At 55.1% G+C, this 14,696-nt stretch overlaps 2 protein-coding genes across 23 annotated transcripts, besides 4 other annotated features; one reads left to right on the top strand and one right to left on the bottom strand.

The window, feature by feature from the left end:
* Positions 3,318-3,612: an enhancer, noted in NCBI's record as "tiled region #11890; HepG2 Activating DNase unmatched - State 1:Tss, and K562 Activating DNase matched - State 1:Tss". NCBI's record gives its function as "activates a minimal TATA promoter and a strong SV40 promoter by Sharpr-MPRA in HepG2 and K562 cells {active_cell/tissue: HepG2 | K562}" and the evidence as "EXISTENCE:reporter gene assay evidence [ECO:0000049][PMID:27701403]".
* NR2C2AP (nuclear receptor 2C2 associated protein) lies at positions 3,518-5,523 on the top strand. 2 transcript variants are annotated; one of them, NM_001300945.2, is made up of 6 exons: positions 3,518-3,909; positions 4,051-4,141; positions 4,357-4,462; positions 4,534-4,601; positions 4,891-5,001; positions 5,369-5,523. In NM_001300945.2, the coding sequence occupies exons 1-6, from the start codon at positions 3,872-3,874 to the stop codon at positions 5,456-5,458; spliced, it is 504 nt and encodes a 167-aa protein (NP_001287874.1). In that variant the 5' UTR covers positions 3,518-3,871; the 3' UTR covers positions 5,459-5,523. The 2 variants fall into 2 exon arrangements, with proteins under 2 accessions (NP_001287874.1, NP_795361.1); NM_176880.6 differs by having other exon boundaries at positions 4,891-5,523.
* Positions 4,276-4,542: a silencer, noted in NCBI's record as "fragment chr19:19313199-19313465 (GRCh37/hg19 assembly coordinates)". NCBI's record gives its function as "represses an EF-1alpha promoter that drives an FKBP-Casp9 reporter gene in an ReSE screen in phorbol 12-myristate 13-acetate-treated (for megakaryocytic differentiation) K562 erythroleukemia cells {active_cell/tissue: K562(+PMA)}" and the evidence as "EXISTENCE:reporter gene assay evidence [ECO:0000049][PMID:32094911]".
* RFXANK (regulatory factor X associated ankyrin containing protein) lies at positions 5,066-14,674 on the bottom strand. Of its 21 annotated transcripts, none has more exons than XM_047439590.1 (11): positions 14,247-14,674; positions 13,832-13,972; positions 12,799-12,993; positions 9,886-9,966; positions 9,681-9,746; positions 9,311-9,411; positions 8,700-8,825; positions 8,209-8,275; positions 7,698-7,778; positions 6,039-6,113; positions 5,066-5,283 (listed from the first exon to the last, which is right to left on the bottom strand). In XM_047439590.1, exons 3-11 carry the CDS (start codon positions 12,983-12,985, stop codon positions 5,213-5,215), a joined length of 855 nt encoding a protein of 284 aa, XP_047295546.1. In that variant the 5' UTR covers positions 12,986-12,993; positions 13,832-13,972; positions 14,247-14,674; the 3' UTR covers positions 5,066-5,212. The 21 variants fall into 21 exon arrangements, with proteins under 21 accessions (XP_047295546.1, XP_047295542.1, XP_047295545.1 ...); XM_047439586.1 differs by having other exon boundaries at positions 9,886-9,969; positions 14,378-14,674; XM_047439589.1 differs by having other exon boundaries at positions 14,378-14,674.
* Positions 11,685-11,836: a silencer, noted in NCBI's record as "fragment chr19:19305905-19306056 (GRCh37/hg19 assembly coordinates)". NCBI's record gives its function as "represses an EF-1alpha promoter that drives an FKBP-Casp9 reporter gene in an ReSE screen in K562 erythroleukemia cells {active_cell/tissue: K562}" and the evidence as "EXISTENCE:reporter gene assay evidence [ECO:0000049][PMID:32094911]".
* Positions 13,808-13,897: an enhancer, noted in NCBI's record as "active region_14342". NCBI's record gives its function as "activates an Ori minimal core promoter by ATAC-STARR-seq in GM12878 lymphoblastoid cells {active_cell/tissue: GM12878}" and the evidence as "EXISTENCE:reporter gene assay evidence [ECO:0000049][PMID:35858748]".

The raw sequence follows: 14,696 nt of genomic DNA, 5'->3' as shown, positions 1-14,696 counted from the left end.
GACCCAGGCTTGCACTGCACCAGGACTCATAACCCCAGCTGCTACTGTGTGAACATCTGTCTCCTCGGAGAGGGGTCCTGATGGGCTCCGGTAGATAAATCAGACCCAGACCTGCCGGATGGGGGTCTCCAGGCTCAGGGAATCCCATCAAACCCTCCCTTGCAGATGCCCCAGGCTAAGACCTTAGGGAAAAGGTTACATCCATCTCCCAGTGGGGAAACTGAGGCTTGAAGCTATCTGAGGGCCATTCCCTGCCTTGTTCCAGGATAATGAAATCATGGACAGAAGGACCTGTTTTCTGCATGGGTGGGGCTGCCTCCCCAGACACCACCAAGGCAGAGAGTCCCCACTGACCCAAACTTGCTGTGTGACTGCCAGCAAGTCCCTGACTCTCTCTAAACCTCCAATTTCTCCCCAGAAAAATGCTAACCCAAGCCCAGTTAGGGGAACTCCAGAGTGAGACTGGGGTTTGCATCCCAGTTCCCCTTGGTGATCTTGGCCAAATGACTTTGCTTTTCTGTGCCTCAGTTTCCCCAAGTGAACCAGAGGAGCTGCTTTTGGACCTTCTAGAGCCCTCCCTGCCCCATTCCCTGGGGTGGGGGTGGGAGCTCTTAGTCTTTCCTCACTCAAGCGAATGAATGGACCACTTTTGGCTGCCCTGCTGGGAGCCCAGAGCTGCTAATTCCCTGGAGAAACAGGAGGCTCTTTCATGCCCAGGCGCCAGTGGGGTGAGGAGGCGGGAAGAGGGTATGGAGCTGGCCTCATACCCGTGGGCAAGGAGGCCGCATGCCAAAGCCAGGAGTGGTGTGGAGAGCCCTGGAGCCATGCATATCCTCACTGGGGGGACTTGGCTAAGTTGATGTGTCCTCAGCTATAAAATGGGAATGACAGGGACCAGCCACAGCAGGTTTAACGAGCCAATGGGTGGCGACAGAACATGGCTTCAAGTCAGACACACGGTGGACTCTCAGTGAAAGTCAGCTACTGTTACTATGTGTCAACCTGAAGAACCCAGAGAGTCCTCCAACAGTGCCGTTAATAGAATTCCCCCCATTTCACAGATGAGAAACTGAGGCTCAGAGAGGTCAAGGTGCTTTTCTAAGGTCACACAGCCAATGAGTGGTCCAGCCAGGATTTGAACCAGATCTGGGCTCTCCAGTGTCCTTGCTCTTTCTAACTTCCTTCCGGGGGTGAGGTTGGGGGCACAGTTTCCTGTCACCTCCAGCCCCAGCCCTGAGACCAGCGAAGTTGGGTTTGGATGGCACCAGACTCTGTCTAAATGCGGAAAGCCCTGGCAGGCAGGGGCTGAAGAGACAGGCCTTCTGCTGGTGACCCAGTTTCCCCGCCAGCCCCCACCCCTGCTGCCTGGGGTGGGTTTGAGCAGACACTAGTAGGATGCCGGAAGGACCATTCCTCCAGCCCTTGAAGAAAGGGGCTGGCTGCCAGACCATTCAGCTAAAGCCAGGAACAACAGCCTCTTGCCAGTGGCTGCTCTGTCTTGGAACCCTCCATTCATGCAGAACGGATGGTGTCCTGCCCTTTCTCCAACACCTTCCATGACTGCTCCGGGCCCAGCAGGATGTGGCTCCACATATTTTATTCAAATTCATGGTCTTTCACCCAACTAGGCCTTGGCTTATGCTAAGCTCCCTGCCTGGGACACCCTCCCCACTCCAGATTTTCTCACCCTTGTGAATTCCTGGCGCCTGACCCCCTATTAAGGTGCAGTTCTAACATCCCCTTTCCCAGGAAGCCCTTCCTCCAGGTAGAGCCCCTGCTCCTCCGGCCCCATCTCTCCCTTGGGGCTAGGAGTGTCTATGTCTACCTCTGTCTTGCCCAGATCAGGGGCTCCTCTGGGACAGGCCTGGAGCTGAGGCCTCTTGCTGTCCCCAGCATCATCCAGCAGAAGGCTGGACATGACAGTGTGACAGTAGAGCTTGCAGGAGGTGTCTAGTGAATCAGTGAACCAAATCTTCAGCTTGGTATCTGAGGCTTTGTTTGGCAAACTCCTGTTCATGCTTCAAAACCCACCTCACAGCCTGGGTGCGGTGGCTCACACCTGTAATCCCAGCACTTTGGGAGGCCAAGGCGGGCAGATCACGAGGTTAGGAGTTCGAGACCAGCCTGGCCAAGATAGCGAAACCCCATCTCTACTAAAAATACAAAAATTAGCCAGGCATAGTGGTGCGCACCTGTAGTCACAGCTACTCAGGAGGCTGAGGCAGGGGAATCACTTGAACCTGGGAGGCGGAGGTTGCAGTGAGCTGAGATCACACCACTGCACTCCAGCCTGGGCAACAAAGTGAGGCTCCGTCTCGAAACAAAACAAAACAGAAACAACAAAAAACACCCGACCTCGCATGCTCCCTCCTCCAAGAAGCCTTCCTTGACGTCCCAGCAGCATTTTCTGGGAAAGACAAACTTGGAGGCCAGGGCTCCTCTGTCCCAACAAGAACAAAAAGGGTTGATGAGGACTTCAGATACTCCCAACATCGTGGCCTTTTCCACAACTCTGCCTTTGGCCTCCGGGAGGCAGTGAAGTTCGGGGATTCCCAGGCTGCATTTAGTGGTTAGGGTAGAGTAGGTTAGAGTAGGTTAGGGTAGCCGTTAGGGTAGAGTAGGTTAGAGTAGGAAGAAAGACATTGTCATAGGAAGTCTCTCTGGCCGGGCGCGGTGGCTTACGCCTGTAATCCCAGCACTTTGGGAGGCTGAGGTGGGCGGATCACTTGAGCCCAGGAGTTCGAGACCAATCTGGGCAACATGGCGAAACCTCATCTCTACCAAAAAACAAACAAACAAACAAACAAACAAAATAGCCTGCCGTGGTGGCGCGCGCCTACTAGTTCCAACTATTCGGGAAGCTGGGTAGGAGGATTGCTGGAGCCTGGGAGGCAGAGGTCGCAGAGAGCCGCGATCCCACCATTGTACTCCAGCCTGGGTGACAGTGAGACCCCACTTCAAAAAAAAAAAAAAAAAAAGGCCGGGCGCGGTGGCTCAAGCCTGTAATCCCAGCACTTTGGAAGCCCCGGCGGCTGGATCACGAGGTCAGGAGATCAAGACCATTCTGGCTAACACGGTGAAACCCCGTCTCTACTAAATATACGAAAAATTAGCCGGGCGTGGTGGCGGGCGCCTGTATTCCCAGCTACTTGGGAGGCTGAGGCAGGAGAACGGCGTGAACCCAGGGGGCGGAGCTTGCAGTGAGCGGAGATCGTGCCACTGCACTCCAGCCTGGGCGACAGTGAGACTCCGCCTCAAAAAAAAAAAAAAAAAAAGGAAGTCTTTCGGATTCCAAAATCAGTCAAAATCAGTGCTCTACACCTTCGGGCGCCGAGGGACAGCGCCCCGTGCGCGCAGCCAGCCTTTTCCCTACAGCTTCAAGGGAACCAAGGTAAATTCAATCATCGAACCCGGGCCCTTTAAGAAGCGAGCATGAAGGGGCGGGGTCGAACCAAACCCCACCTCTGGAGCGTCCGCGGTCGGCGCCTGAATTACAACACGCATGCGCCAAGCCCACGCGGTTCCGGGTCCCAAGATTTGGCTCCAAGAGCTATTCGCAGAGAAACAGCCTCGCACAAAAAGCCACCGCCCCCGAAACCCGCGGGAAATCTGTTTCCTGTGAAAGGCCTGGCCTCCGGGCATTGGCGGTTTCCCTGATCCTCTCTCCCAAATTTTCCGGCAGGGGATTGATCGAGGCGACATTTAGGACTGGGGTGGGCGAGGGAGTGGCGGTTCTCGTCCCAAGTTACAGGTGAGGACGTTCAGGCCAAGGCGTAGCCAAGATCGCGCCGCCCTGTAGCTTGAGGAGGCGCCGGGATTCGAACCAAGGCTGTGCCCAATCCTAAGCCCTGCGAGGTCTTGTGGAACCGACATGACCCACTCTTTGGTTTGTCCAGAGACAGTGAGCAGGTAAGAGTCTGTGGGGACAGGCAGTGGCGAGGCCCTAAGCCTGGGGTCGAGCCCTCAGTGGACAGATCTGGGGGTCAGGCCCTCCGCGGAGCTGAGAGCTGGTCTCAGCCCCTCTCTTCGCCTTGATCCTGGTGCCTCCAGGGTGAGTTCAGTGCTGAATCGCAACACTCGGCAGTTTGGAAAAAAACATCTTTTCGACCAGGATGAGGAGACATGTTGGAACTCAGACCAGGTGAGGCGCCTCCCTCGACCCTCCATCTCTAGGGTGATTCAGATTCAGATCTCATGCCTTGAGAACGTCAGGGGGCCCTCATGGGTGGCCAGGAAAGGAACATGTGCCGAATTTCCTTCTTCCCCTCCATTCCAAGAACTATGTGAATGAGACAGGCATAGCAGGGCTCTGTGCCTGCAGTGAGCTTGCGCCTCAGTTTCCCTGTCTGCTTCCAGGGCCCCTCCCAGTGGGTGACGCTGGAGTTTCCCCAGCTCATCCGTGTCTCCCAGCTGCAGATCCAGTTTCAGGGTGGCTTCTCCAGTCGCCGGGGCTGCCTGGAAGGTACTAGAAGGCCCTGGGTGGCAGGGGTTCCAGGGGTCACCCCAGACACTCATTGCCTTTCTCTGCTGAAGGTTCACAGGGCACTCAGGCTCTCCACAAGATTGTAGATTTCTACCCTGAGGACAACAACTCGCTTCAGATATCCTGCCCCTGCTTCTGGGGTGGGTGGTCTGTGCCTCTGGAAGCTTTGGACTCACCCAAACCCGAATGGGAACCCTGATGTGTGATCTTGAACACGTGACCTCTAGGACTCCACTTTTTCTGTAAAATGGTGCTGATGACCACCTGTTCTGTGTGAGAGGCTTAGAGGGACCTGCAGCTTCCCCAGGTTGCCCACATCGGTGGAGTGTGAGCTGGGTCTGGAAGGGGTGGGGGCCTGCGGGTGGGAAACCAGAAATCACCAGTTTCCCTTGACTGCCCACGCTCACACTTTCCCCATACCAGCTGCTGAAGTGGACCGGCTGAAGGTGACGTTTGAGGATGCCACTGACTTTTTTGGCCGTGTGGTCATCTACCACCTGCGGGTGCTTGGGGAGAAGGTGTGAGACCTCTAGGGGCTGTCTCCTCCAGGAAGCCCTCCGGGAAGCACAGCAAAGTCCCTCATTCTGCACAGAAGGTTTATTGGTTCCTCTTGGGAAGGGTCCCCTCCCACCACCTGTCCAGAAGCTGCCTTTGAAGTCAGTTCTGGGTTTCCCCAGCTCTGGCTGACCATTTTGTTCCCTGAGTGTCTGAGTCCCCGGCAGGCGGCCTTCACTCAGGGTCAGCGGGCACCAGGTTGCTCTGGAAGAGCTTGAGGATGTGGTTCTCGATCACCTGTTGCACTGAGATGGGGCAGGGAAAAGGTGGGCTGTGAGCTTGAATCGGGAGTGGGGTGGAGGCACAGGCCAACCTGCGCTCTCCCCTTAGGGGACAAACAGGGACCCTTGCAGAGACCTGCATTACAGAGCAAAGCTGGGAGAACCGAGGACTCACCCCAGGAACCTCAACTTCCCCTAAGTTTGTAAAAATGCACTTTTGTAGCTTTTCAGAATTAATATAAAAATATTTCCTACCAAGCAAAATGTGTGAATTGTGACTTTCATGAAAAGATGAGCCTGGGCATGGTGGCTCACACCTATAATCCCAGCACTTTGGGAGGTCCAGTGGGGAGGACTGCTTGAGCTCAGGAATTTGAGGCCAGCTTGGGCAACAGAGCAAAACGCTGTCTCTACCAAAAAAATTTAAAAATTAGGCTGGGCTTGGTGGCTCACACCTGTAATCCTAGCACTTTGGGAGGCCAAGGTAGGTGGATCACTTGAAGTCAGGAAAGGCCAGCCTGACCAACATGATGAAACCCCATCTCTACTAAAACTACAAAAATTAGCCAGGTGCAGCCGGGTGTGGTGGCTCATGCCTGTAATCCCAGCACTTTGGGAAGCTGAGGCGGGTGGATCACCTGAGGTCGGGAGTTTGAGATCACCTGACCAACATGGAGAAACCCTGACTCTACTAAAAATGCAAAAAATTAGTTGGGCATGGTGGTGCATGCCTGTAATCCCAGCTACTTGGGAGGCTGAGGCAGGAGAATTGCTTGAACCTGGGAGGCGGAAGTTGCAGTGAGCCGAGATCACGCCATAGCACTCCAGCCTGGGCAACAAGAGCGAAACTCCATCTCAAAAAAAAAAAAAAAAAAAAAAAAAAATTAGCCAGGTGTGGTGGCAGGCACTTGTAATCCCAGCTATTCAGGAGGCTGAGGCAGGAGAATTGTTTGCCTGGGAGGCAGAGGTTGCAGTGAGCCGAGATTGTGCCACTGCACTCCAGCCTGGGTGACAGAGCGAGACTCTGTCTCAAAAAATAAATAAAAAAGATTTTAAAAATTAGCTGGGTAGAGTGGTACATGCCTGTAGTCCCAGCTACTCAGGAGGCTGGGGAAGAAGGATCACTTGAGCCCAGGAGTTTGAGACCAGCCTGGGCAACATAGCGAGACCCTGTCTCTTCTAAAAAAACAACAACACAGCCAGGCGTGGTGGCTCACACCTGTAATCCCAGCACTTTGGGAGGCCAACACAGGCGGATCACAAGGTCAGGAGTTCAAGACCAGCCTGACCAACATGGTGAAACCCCGTCTCTACTAAAAATATAAAAATTAGCCGGGCGTCATGGTGTGCACCTGTGGTCCCAGCTACTCAGGAGGCTGAGGCAGGAGAATCGCTTGAACCTGGGAGGTGGAAGTTGCAGTGAGCCGAGATGGCGCCATTGCACTCCAGCCTGGGTGACAGCGCGAGACTCCATGTCCAAAAAAAAAAAAAAAAAAAGCAACAACAAAAAATTAGCCAGGCATGGTGACGAATGCCTGTGGTCCCAGCTACTCGGGAGGCTGTGGTGGGAGGATCACTTGAGCCTGGGAGATCGAGGCTGCAGTAAGCTGTGCCTGCACCACTTCATTCCAGCCTGGGTGATAGAGCAAGACTTTCTGCCTCGAACAAAAAAACAAACCCCCCGAAAACATGAGGAGGGAAGAGGAATGATTTCTGTCCCAAACACAGTAAAACTCTGAAGGAAGGAGGGGGATATTTCCTAAGCACCCCATCTCTACCATGACCCCAGGGGGTCGGTTCAATTGGGATCTCCCCATTTTATGGATGGGGAAGTTGGGGTCCCATTGTGACAGAGAAAATGGAGTCAAACTGGGGTCTGCCTATGGCCCCTGTTCAAACCCACTGCCCGCCACGGAGAGGGATGGCCTCTGTGGCTCTGTGCACTATGGCCTGGTCGCCTACCCCTTGGTGTCCTCACTGCCAGGCCTCCGCAGGGGCCACTCCTCCCACCTGGATGCCATTCTCCCTCCCTTCAGGTCCCCCAGAATCCTTCCCTGACCTCCCCATCCCAGGGCTGGGCCCACCTCACTTCTCGGGGTCTCAACCTTAAGACACCTTCCTCCAGGAAGCCTCTCTGACTTCTGTTGGCCACTTTGGGGCTCTTTGATGAGAGGCCCCTCTTTCGGCCTCTCATGCCTATGTGTCCCCCATCATGGCCACAGCCACTGACACCCATTGTCCTCCCTACCCCAGCACATGTGGAGCCCCAGGAGCCAGGACTGGGATGTTCCCAGGCGGGATACACAGCAGTGCTCAACACCTGTCAACACACTCTCGCTGCCGGCGTATGACCACTGAAGGGGTGTCCCATGTACCCCTTTATGGTCACCCTGCCTATGGAAGGGACCCCACCCCTGCTCTGTGTGTCTCAGGCTGACCTTTCCGGTATCCCAGGGCCACGGCAAGGTCCATCGGGGTGTAGCCAGAGTCGGCTTCGGTGGTGAGGTCAGCGCCTCGGGCTGCAAAGGAGAGGGGAGGGCGCTGGAGGGTGGGGCCTGGGAGTCCAGAATGGGGTCTGGGGACCTGGGAGATCCCATGGCACCCCTCATTCCCCACAATGCAGCCGTGGGTCTGCCCGTTGCCCATGTGGCCTTTGACAAGGGTCCAACCTCTGCTATCTTGGTCTCCACTGAAGAACGTGGCTGAAGGGTCTCTGAACCATGGAGGATGGAGGTGCTTAGCCTCTTGGCCAGATCCTAAACCCAGACCCCGACTCCCGTGTGGTCCTACCACCTCCTCCCCTCTGATCCATCCTCCGAGAAGAGCAGGCAGGGACTACCTGCTCCAAGAACTCTTCAAGCAACACTTGGGCGTCTCCCTGCCCTCAGGATTCCCGCAGGGCCCGCTGGAGTGCTGGGGCCCCCAGGGCCACTCCCGACTCCCACTCACCCAGCAAGGCCTCAACGCATTTCACGTGGTTCCCGCGCACAGCGTACAGCAGTGGCGTCCCTCCATTCTGTCGTGGGTAGGGGCAGGAGAAACCAAAGGTTTACCTCTTCCTCATTCTCAAAATGCCTTGTACTCTCTGGCCTCCAGTTGAACGTGGTTCCTCCTGCTCATCACTGGGCCCATCTCACTTTCTGGGGTCTCAAGCTTAGACACCTTCCTCCAGGAAGACCTCTCTGATTTCCCTTGCCCACATGGGGCTCTTGTAGCCACCTGTGCATCTGCCATCGCAGCGCAGTTCACTGCATCTCAGCTGCCTGTTTCCATGTCTGCCTTCCCTGCATGGGGAGCTCTGCTCTGTGAGGCTGGGAATGGGGCTGTCTCGTGTTCTCGGCACCTAGAGCAGGCCTGCACCTTTCAAGTACTCTGTGAACATTTGAGGCAGGAATGAAGGCCAGGAGGCTGAGAGGTCCTGGGGATGGGCAGTCCCTCACCCAATCATAGATGTTGATGTCCACGTCACGCTCCAGCAGCAGCCCCACAATGTCTGTGTAGCCGCCTGTGCTGGCCAGCGACAGGGCGCTCTCTCGCTCTTTTGCCAGGATGTGGGGGTCGGCACCCTGCAGGGAGAAGAAGGGACAGTGGTAGGATGGATTGGGGCATAACCAGGAATCCTGGGGTACCCACAGCAGCCGCATCTTTTTTTTTTTTTTTGGAGATAGAGTCTTGCTCTGTTGCCCAGGCTGGAGTGCAGTGGCGCAATCTCGGCTCACTGCTACCTCCGCCTCCCAGGTTCACACAGTTCTCCCACCTCAGCCTCCAGAGTACCTGGGATTACAGGCACCCACCACGACGCCTGGCTAATTTTTGTATTTTTTTAGTAGAGACAGGGTTTCACCCATGTTGGCCGGGCTGGTCTTGAACTCCTGACCTCAAGTGATCCACCCGCCTCGGCCTCCCAAAGTGCTGGGATTACAGGCATGAGCCACTGCACCCAGCCAGCAGCCGCATCTCAAAGACAAGGCGCCAGCAGACACAGCCAAAACCCCAGCCCACCCTAAGGCCCCCGGGAACCCCCCAGCTGCCCAGCTGGGCTGGGACGCACCCACTCCAGCAGGAAGCGAACGGTCTCAATCTCTCCAAAGGCGGAGGCCCAGATGAGGGGGGTGAAGCCGCGCTCGTCTGGCTTGTTGACGAGGTTGTCACCTGGCAGGAGGAGGCGGGCAATACCACCAGGCTGCACCCCTGCCCCCTATCCCCAGTGCTGCCAAATGGGGACGAGGTGGGGGGCTGGGGTTAGACAGGGGAATGAGGGGGAGCGTATGTTGATGGACATACATGAACACGGTCACACACACAGTTAGATACAATCATACACGTGGACACTCACAGGTCACGTCATGAGTGGGTATGGACACCCATATGCACACACCAGCCAGGTGCAGACATGCCAGCACATGTGTGTGGACACGCACCTTTCCGCAAATGCTCCTTCAGCTGGTCCAGCTCCCCCTGTGCTGCGAGCTGGTGGATGGACAGGGCTGGGGCAGGACAGAGGCAGAGTCCTCACTCATCCCCTTGCTTCTCTGTGCCTCAGTTTACCCTCTGTCCACGATTGCTCCTCACAGGCCCTCCCACCCTCCTACTCCTCTCCTTGTTGGGGACCGTGGGCCCACTCACAGTCTAGGGTGGCCGGCAGAGCTGACACCTCGTTCCCTCGCTGCCGGTTGGTGAGAGTGGTGGAGTGCTTCAGGGAGCTGCCTGCTGGGAAACAGACAACAGGCGTCAGTTTCCCCTCAGTAGATGTCTCTGAGGCTTCAGGACAGAAGCCCATCTGTTTTTTTTTGTTGCTGTTGTTGTTTGAGATGGAGTCTCCGTCTGTCCCCCAGGCTGGAGTACAGTGGCGTGATCTCGGCTCACTGCAACCTCTGCCTCCTGGGTTCAAGCGATTCTTGTGCCTCAGCCTCCCGAGTAGCTGGGATCATAGGCGCCCACCACCACACCTGGCTAATTTTTGTATTTTAAGTAGAGACGGGGTTTCGCTATGTTGGCCAGGCTAATTTCAAACTCCTGACCTCAAATCATCCACCTGCCTCAGCCTCCCAAAGTGCTGGGATTATAGGCATGAGCCACCACACCCAGCTATTGGGGTTTTTTTTTTTTTTGAGACAGAGTCTTGCTCTGTTGTCCAGGCTGGAGTGCGGTGGTGTGATCACAGTTCACTTCAGCCTCAACCTCCTGGGCTCAAGCCAACCTCCCACCTCAGCCTCCTGAGCAGCTGAAACTACAGGTGCCACCATACCCAGCAAATTAAAAATATATATATATTGGTAGAGATGGAGTCTTGCTCTGTCGCCCAGGCTGGTCTCAAACTCCTGGGCTCAAGCAATTCTCCTGCCGTGGCCTCCCAAAGTGCTGGGATTACAGGCATGAGCTACCATGCTACTGCCTTCGGTATCTCCCTGGGGTCTTGGAGCTACCAAAGGCAGTGCCTGGGACTCCACCATTCACTCACTCTACTCTCTTGAATACCCAGGGTGCATCTTTCTCCTCCCTGCCTGGCAATGTTCTGAGCAAACAAGACATAGTTTTTGCCCTCTAGGGAGTCGGGGGTCAAGTAGGTGCATCAGACATAGAGAAATAATAAAAAACTTCAAGTTGAAATAAGTGTTCAAAAGAACTTAAGGCCGGGCACAGTGGCTCATGCCTGTAATCCCAGCACTTTGGGAGGCTGAGGTGGGTGGATCACCTGAGGTCAGGAGTTTGAGACCAGCCTGACTAACATGGTGAAATTCCACCTCTACTAAAAACACAAAATTAGCCATGCATGGTGGCAGATGCCTGTAATCCCAGCTACTCGGGAGGCTGAGGCAGGAGAATCGCTTGAATCCAGGAGGTGGAGGTTGCAGTGAGAGAGATCACGCCACTGCACTCCAGCCTGGGCAACAAGAGTGAGACTCCATCTCAAAAAAAAAAAAAAAAAAAAAAATTTAAAAGCAGGTAGAAGAGGATGAAAAGAACGGAGCACAAGGAATAAGTCCTTCTTAGACAAGGTGGTAACAGGAGGGCCTCCCCAAGGTGACACCACCGAGATCTTAGGAAGTCAAAGAAATCCGCTACAGGGACTGGGCGCGGTGGCTCACGCCTGTAATCCCAGCACTTTGGGAGGCCGAGGCGGGCAATCACCTGAGGTCAGGAGTTCGAGACCAGCCTGGGCAACATGGCAAAACTCCATCTCTACTAAAAACACAAAAATTAGCTGGATGTGGTGGTGCATGCCAGCTACTTGGGAGGCTGAGGCAGGAGAATCACCTTAACCCAGGAGAGGGAGTTGCAGTGAGTCAAGATAGTGCCACTGCACTCCACCCTGGACAACAGAGCAAGATTCTGTCTCAAGAAGAGAGGGGATCCAGGAGGCGTCTCGAGAGTGGGGAGAGGGGAAAGGAGGGGAGGGGAGGCGAGGGGAGGGGAGGGAGCCTGGGCAACAAAAGCAAACCTCCATTTAAAAAAAAAAAAAAAAACGGACTGTAGTCCCAGCTACTCGGGAGGCTGAAGCAGGAGAATGGCGTGAACACGGGAGGTGGAGCTTGCAGTGAGCCAAGATTGCGCCACTGCACTCCATGCACTCCAGCCTGGGCGACAGAGCGAGACTCCATCTCAAAAAAAGAAAGAAAGAAAGAAAAAAAAAACGGAGGCGGGAAGGGAGGGAGGGGAGGGGAGTCAGCTATAGGAAGAAGTGTAGGAAGAGCATTCCAGACAGGAGTGGCAGCAACAAAGGTCGTGGGAGGGAACTAAATTAGGCATATTCTTGGACTCCAATCAAAAATAAATCCTCAGTTCCTCAGTAAGTAAAACAGGATGACCATCTGACCCAGTAATTTCACTCCTAGCTATCTACCCTCAAAGAGTTAAAAACAGGTGTGAAGGGCCGGGCACTGTGGCTCACACCTGTAATCCCAGCACTTTCGGAAGTGGAGGCCTGCAGATCACTTGAGCCCAGGAGGTGGAGACCAGCCTCCCAAAAAAAAAAAAAAAATTAGCCAGGTGTGGTTGCATGCCTATAGTCCCAGCTCCTAGGGAGGCTGAGTGATGGCTTCAGCCCAGGAAGTTGAGGCTGCAGTGAACTATGATTGCATCACTGCACTCCAGCCTTAGTAACAGAGCGAGACCCTGTATCAAAAAACAAAAACAGGCCGGGCACAGTGGCTCATGCCTGTAATCCCAGCACTTTGGGAGGCCGAGGTGGGCGGATCACCTGAGGTCAGGAGTTCAAGACCAGCCTGGCCAACATGGTGAAACCCCGTCTCTACTAAAAATACCCAAAAAATTAGCTGGGCGTAGTGGCGGAAGCCTGTAATCCCAGCTACTCAGGAGGCTGAGACAGGAGAATCAGTTGAACCCAGGAGGCAGAGGTTGCAGTGAGCTGAGATCACGCCATTGCACTCCAGCATGGGCAACAAGAGCAAAACTCCATCTCAAAAAACAACAAAACAAAACAAAACAAAAACGAAAGCAAGACACAGGTTCCATGTGAGGCCTGACATTCCATCATCATGGAATCCCAGAGGGCTAATCCCAGAGGAGGTATCCTACCCTGTGGAGAGGAAACACTGGCATCCGGTTCAGGATTCACAGGCTCAGGGGTGCAGGGAAAGAGACTGAGGACCACAGTGTCTGAGCCATCTGCAGCCTCCTCTCCGGGGTCTTCAGGGTCCCCAAGTTCTGAGGCAGGGGTCTGCTGGGTCTGGATGAGGTCTTCTGCAGGCTGGGTAAGCTCCATGGGGAAAGCTGGCGGAGGTGTCAGAAGGGGAGAGATGACAATAATTATCAACAGTTATAATAAAGTAGGCACCGACTGCATACCTAGCCTTGCACTGTGAGGGTGGGTAAACTGAGGTCCAGGTTAATTACCAGAGCCAGGGAAATGAAAACCAGAGTCCAACTGCTTTCGAGGTCTACCATTCCCCACCACCAAAGCACCTACAATGTGCAATGTTTAAGAGCCTGGGCTCTGGCAGGGCACAGTGGCTCACGGCTGTAATCCCAGCACTTTGGGAGGCCGAGGAGGGTGGATCATGAGGTCAGGAGTTCGAGACCAGGCTGGCCACCATGGTGAAACCCCATCTGTACTAAAAATACAAAAATTAGCCAAGCGCGGTGGCGGGCGCCTGTGATCCCAGCTACTCGGGAGGCTGAGGCAGAATTGCTTGAACTCGGGAGGTGGAGGTTGCGGTGAGCAGAGATCGCACCACTGCACTGTAGCTGGGGCGACAGAGCAAGACTCTGTCTCAAAAAAAAAAAAAAAAAAAAAAAAGAAAGGAAAAAAAAGCCGGGGCTCTGGGGTCAGCTGTCTGGGTTCGAATCCCTCAATTTATAGGCCGTGAGAACTTGGGCACGTGACTTAACCTTTGAGCCTCAGTTTCCTCCACGACAAAATGTGGAAATGAGACCTACAACGAATTATGTCTGTACATAGCTTATCGGGGGATCTGCTAAGCGTGGAGCTCAATAAATATTCGCTATGGTTGTTGGGAGGGGCTCCCCATAATGAGTGACGGCTCAACAAAGGTGCGATTGGTCCCAGTCCCACCCGAGCCTCCTAAATCGATCCAGGAGGTCCACTCACCTCCCCACGAGCCTCCTCTGTCCCCCCGCGCCGAAAGCCCAGTTCTCTCAAAACTTGGGGGCCCAAGTCACAAACTTTTCTCTTCCAATGGATATAGCAGGAGGCAAACTGGAGACCGGACCCTCAGCGATCTGGCTTCCTCTGCCGGGACAGAAAGCAACTTGATACTCGACCGCTACCCCCACCCCAGAGCTCCCCCACTGCGCTTGCGCACCCCCGCCCCCCAAAAGTGAGGAAGGGCCCGGGCAGTAAGTGCTGCCTCTGGCCCTTTAAGACTTAGGGGAGGGCGTGGGTTCCGCTGGGGTCCTGGGAGGGCAGTTGCGCCTGCGCCTTCTTTTCCCCTCCTCACCGACTCGGAGGGAATGGGCGGGGCCTAAAGGGCTCTGAGAATTTCACTACGCCTGCGCCCGCTCACCTTTACCCTGCCCACAGATTTTTCCAGAGGGAGCCAATTGGCTCCGGCTTCGGGTAGATGGGCGGGGCTATCTCAAGAAGAAGAAGTAGGGGAAGTACGCGGGGCGTCTGGAACTTAAAGGGGCAGCGTACCTTGGCCGTCCCGTTCCACAACAAGGTCCCTTCTGCGGTCTCAAAGGCTTATAAGCAAGGGCGGGGGCAGAGGGCTAAAGAAGGGAGTTTTTGCGGCCCGAGTGGGTAATGCGTGGAGGACTCCCCCAACTCGTCTCTCAAGGAAAAGGGGGTTCAGAAAGGGAGAGAGTTCTTCCCCCTCTCCTGCCTGGGTGTCGCTCCACCAGCCTCCTGGCCGTCGCGCCCCCTCCTCACTGCGCCACCCCCGGGTGTGCCTCCTTCCCTGCGTCTCACACAGCCCCTTTCTTGTCCGCAAAGACTGAGGAGCGGGGAGGGCGGG

Source organism: Homo sapiens, chromosome 19 (assembly GCF_000001405.40).
Source record: "Homo sapiens chromosome 19, GRCh38.p14 Primary Assembly".
Classification (NCBI taxonomy): domain Eukaryota; kingdom Metazoa; phylum Chordata; class Mammalia; order Primates; family Hominidae; genus Homo; species Homo sapiens.
This window is presented reverse-complemented; position numbering and strand designations above follow the sequence as displayed.

Bases quoted from the DNA above. Each gene is read 5' to 3' on its own strand.
- RFXANK (XM_047439586.1), bottom strand. From the start codon at position 12,985: ATGGAGCTTACCCAGCCTGCAGAAGACCTCATCCAGACCCAGCAGACC. The intron at 9,970-12,798 runs GTAGGATACCTC...TCTGTTTCCCAG, and splicing joins CAGTGTTTCCTCTCCACAGG to CAGGCAGCTCCCTGAAGCAC. The intron at 9,412-9,680 runs GTGCGTGTCCAC...TCCTCCTGCCAG, and splicing joins GAAGGAGCATTTGCGGAAAG to GTGACAACCTCGTCAACAAG.
- NR2C2AP (NM_001300945.2), top strand. From the start codon at position 3,872: ATGACCCACTCTTTGGTTTGTCCAGAGACAGTGAGCAG. The intron at 4,602-4,890 runs ATATCCTGCCCC...GCCCACGCTCAC, and splicing joins AGGACAACAACTCGCTTCAG to ACTTTCCCCATACCAGCTGC. The intron at 5,002-5,368 runs GTGTGAGACCTC...CTCTCCCCTTAG, and splicing joins TGCGGGTGCTTGGGGAGAAG to GGGACAAACAGGGACCCTTG.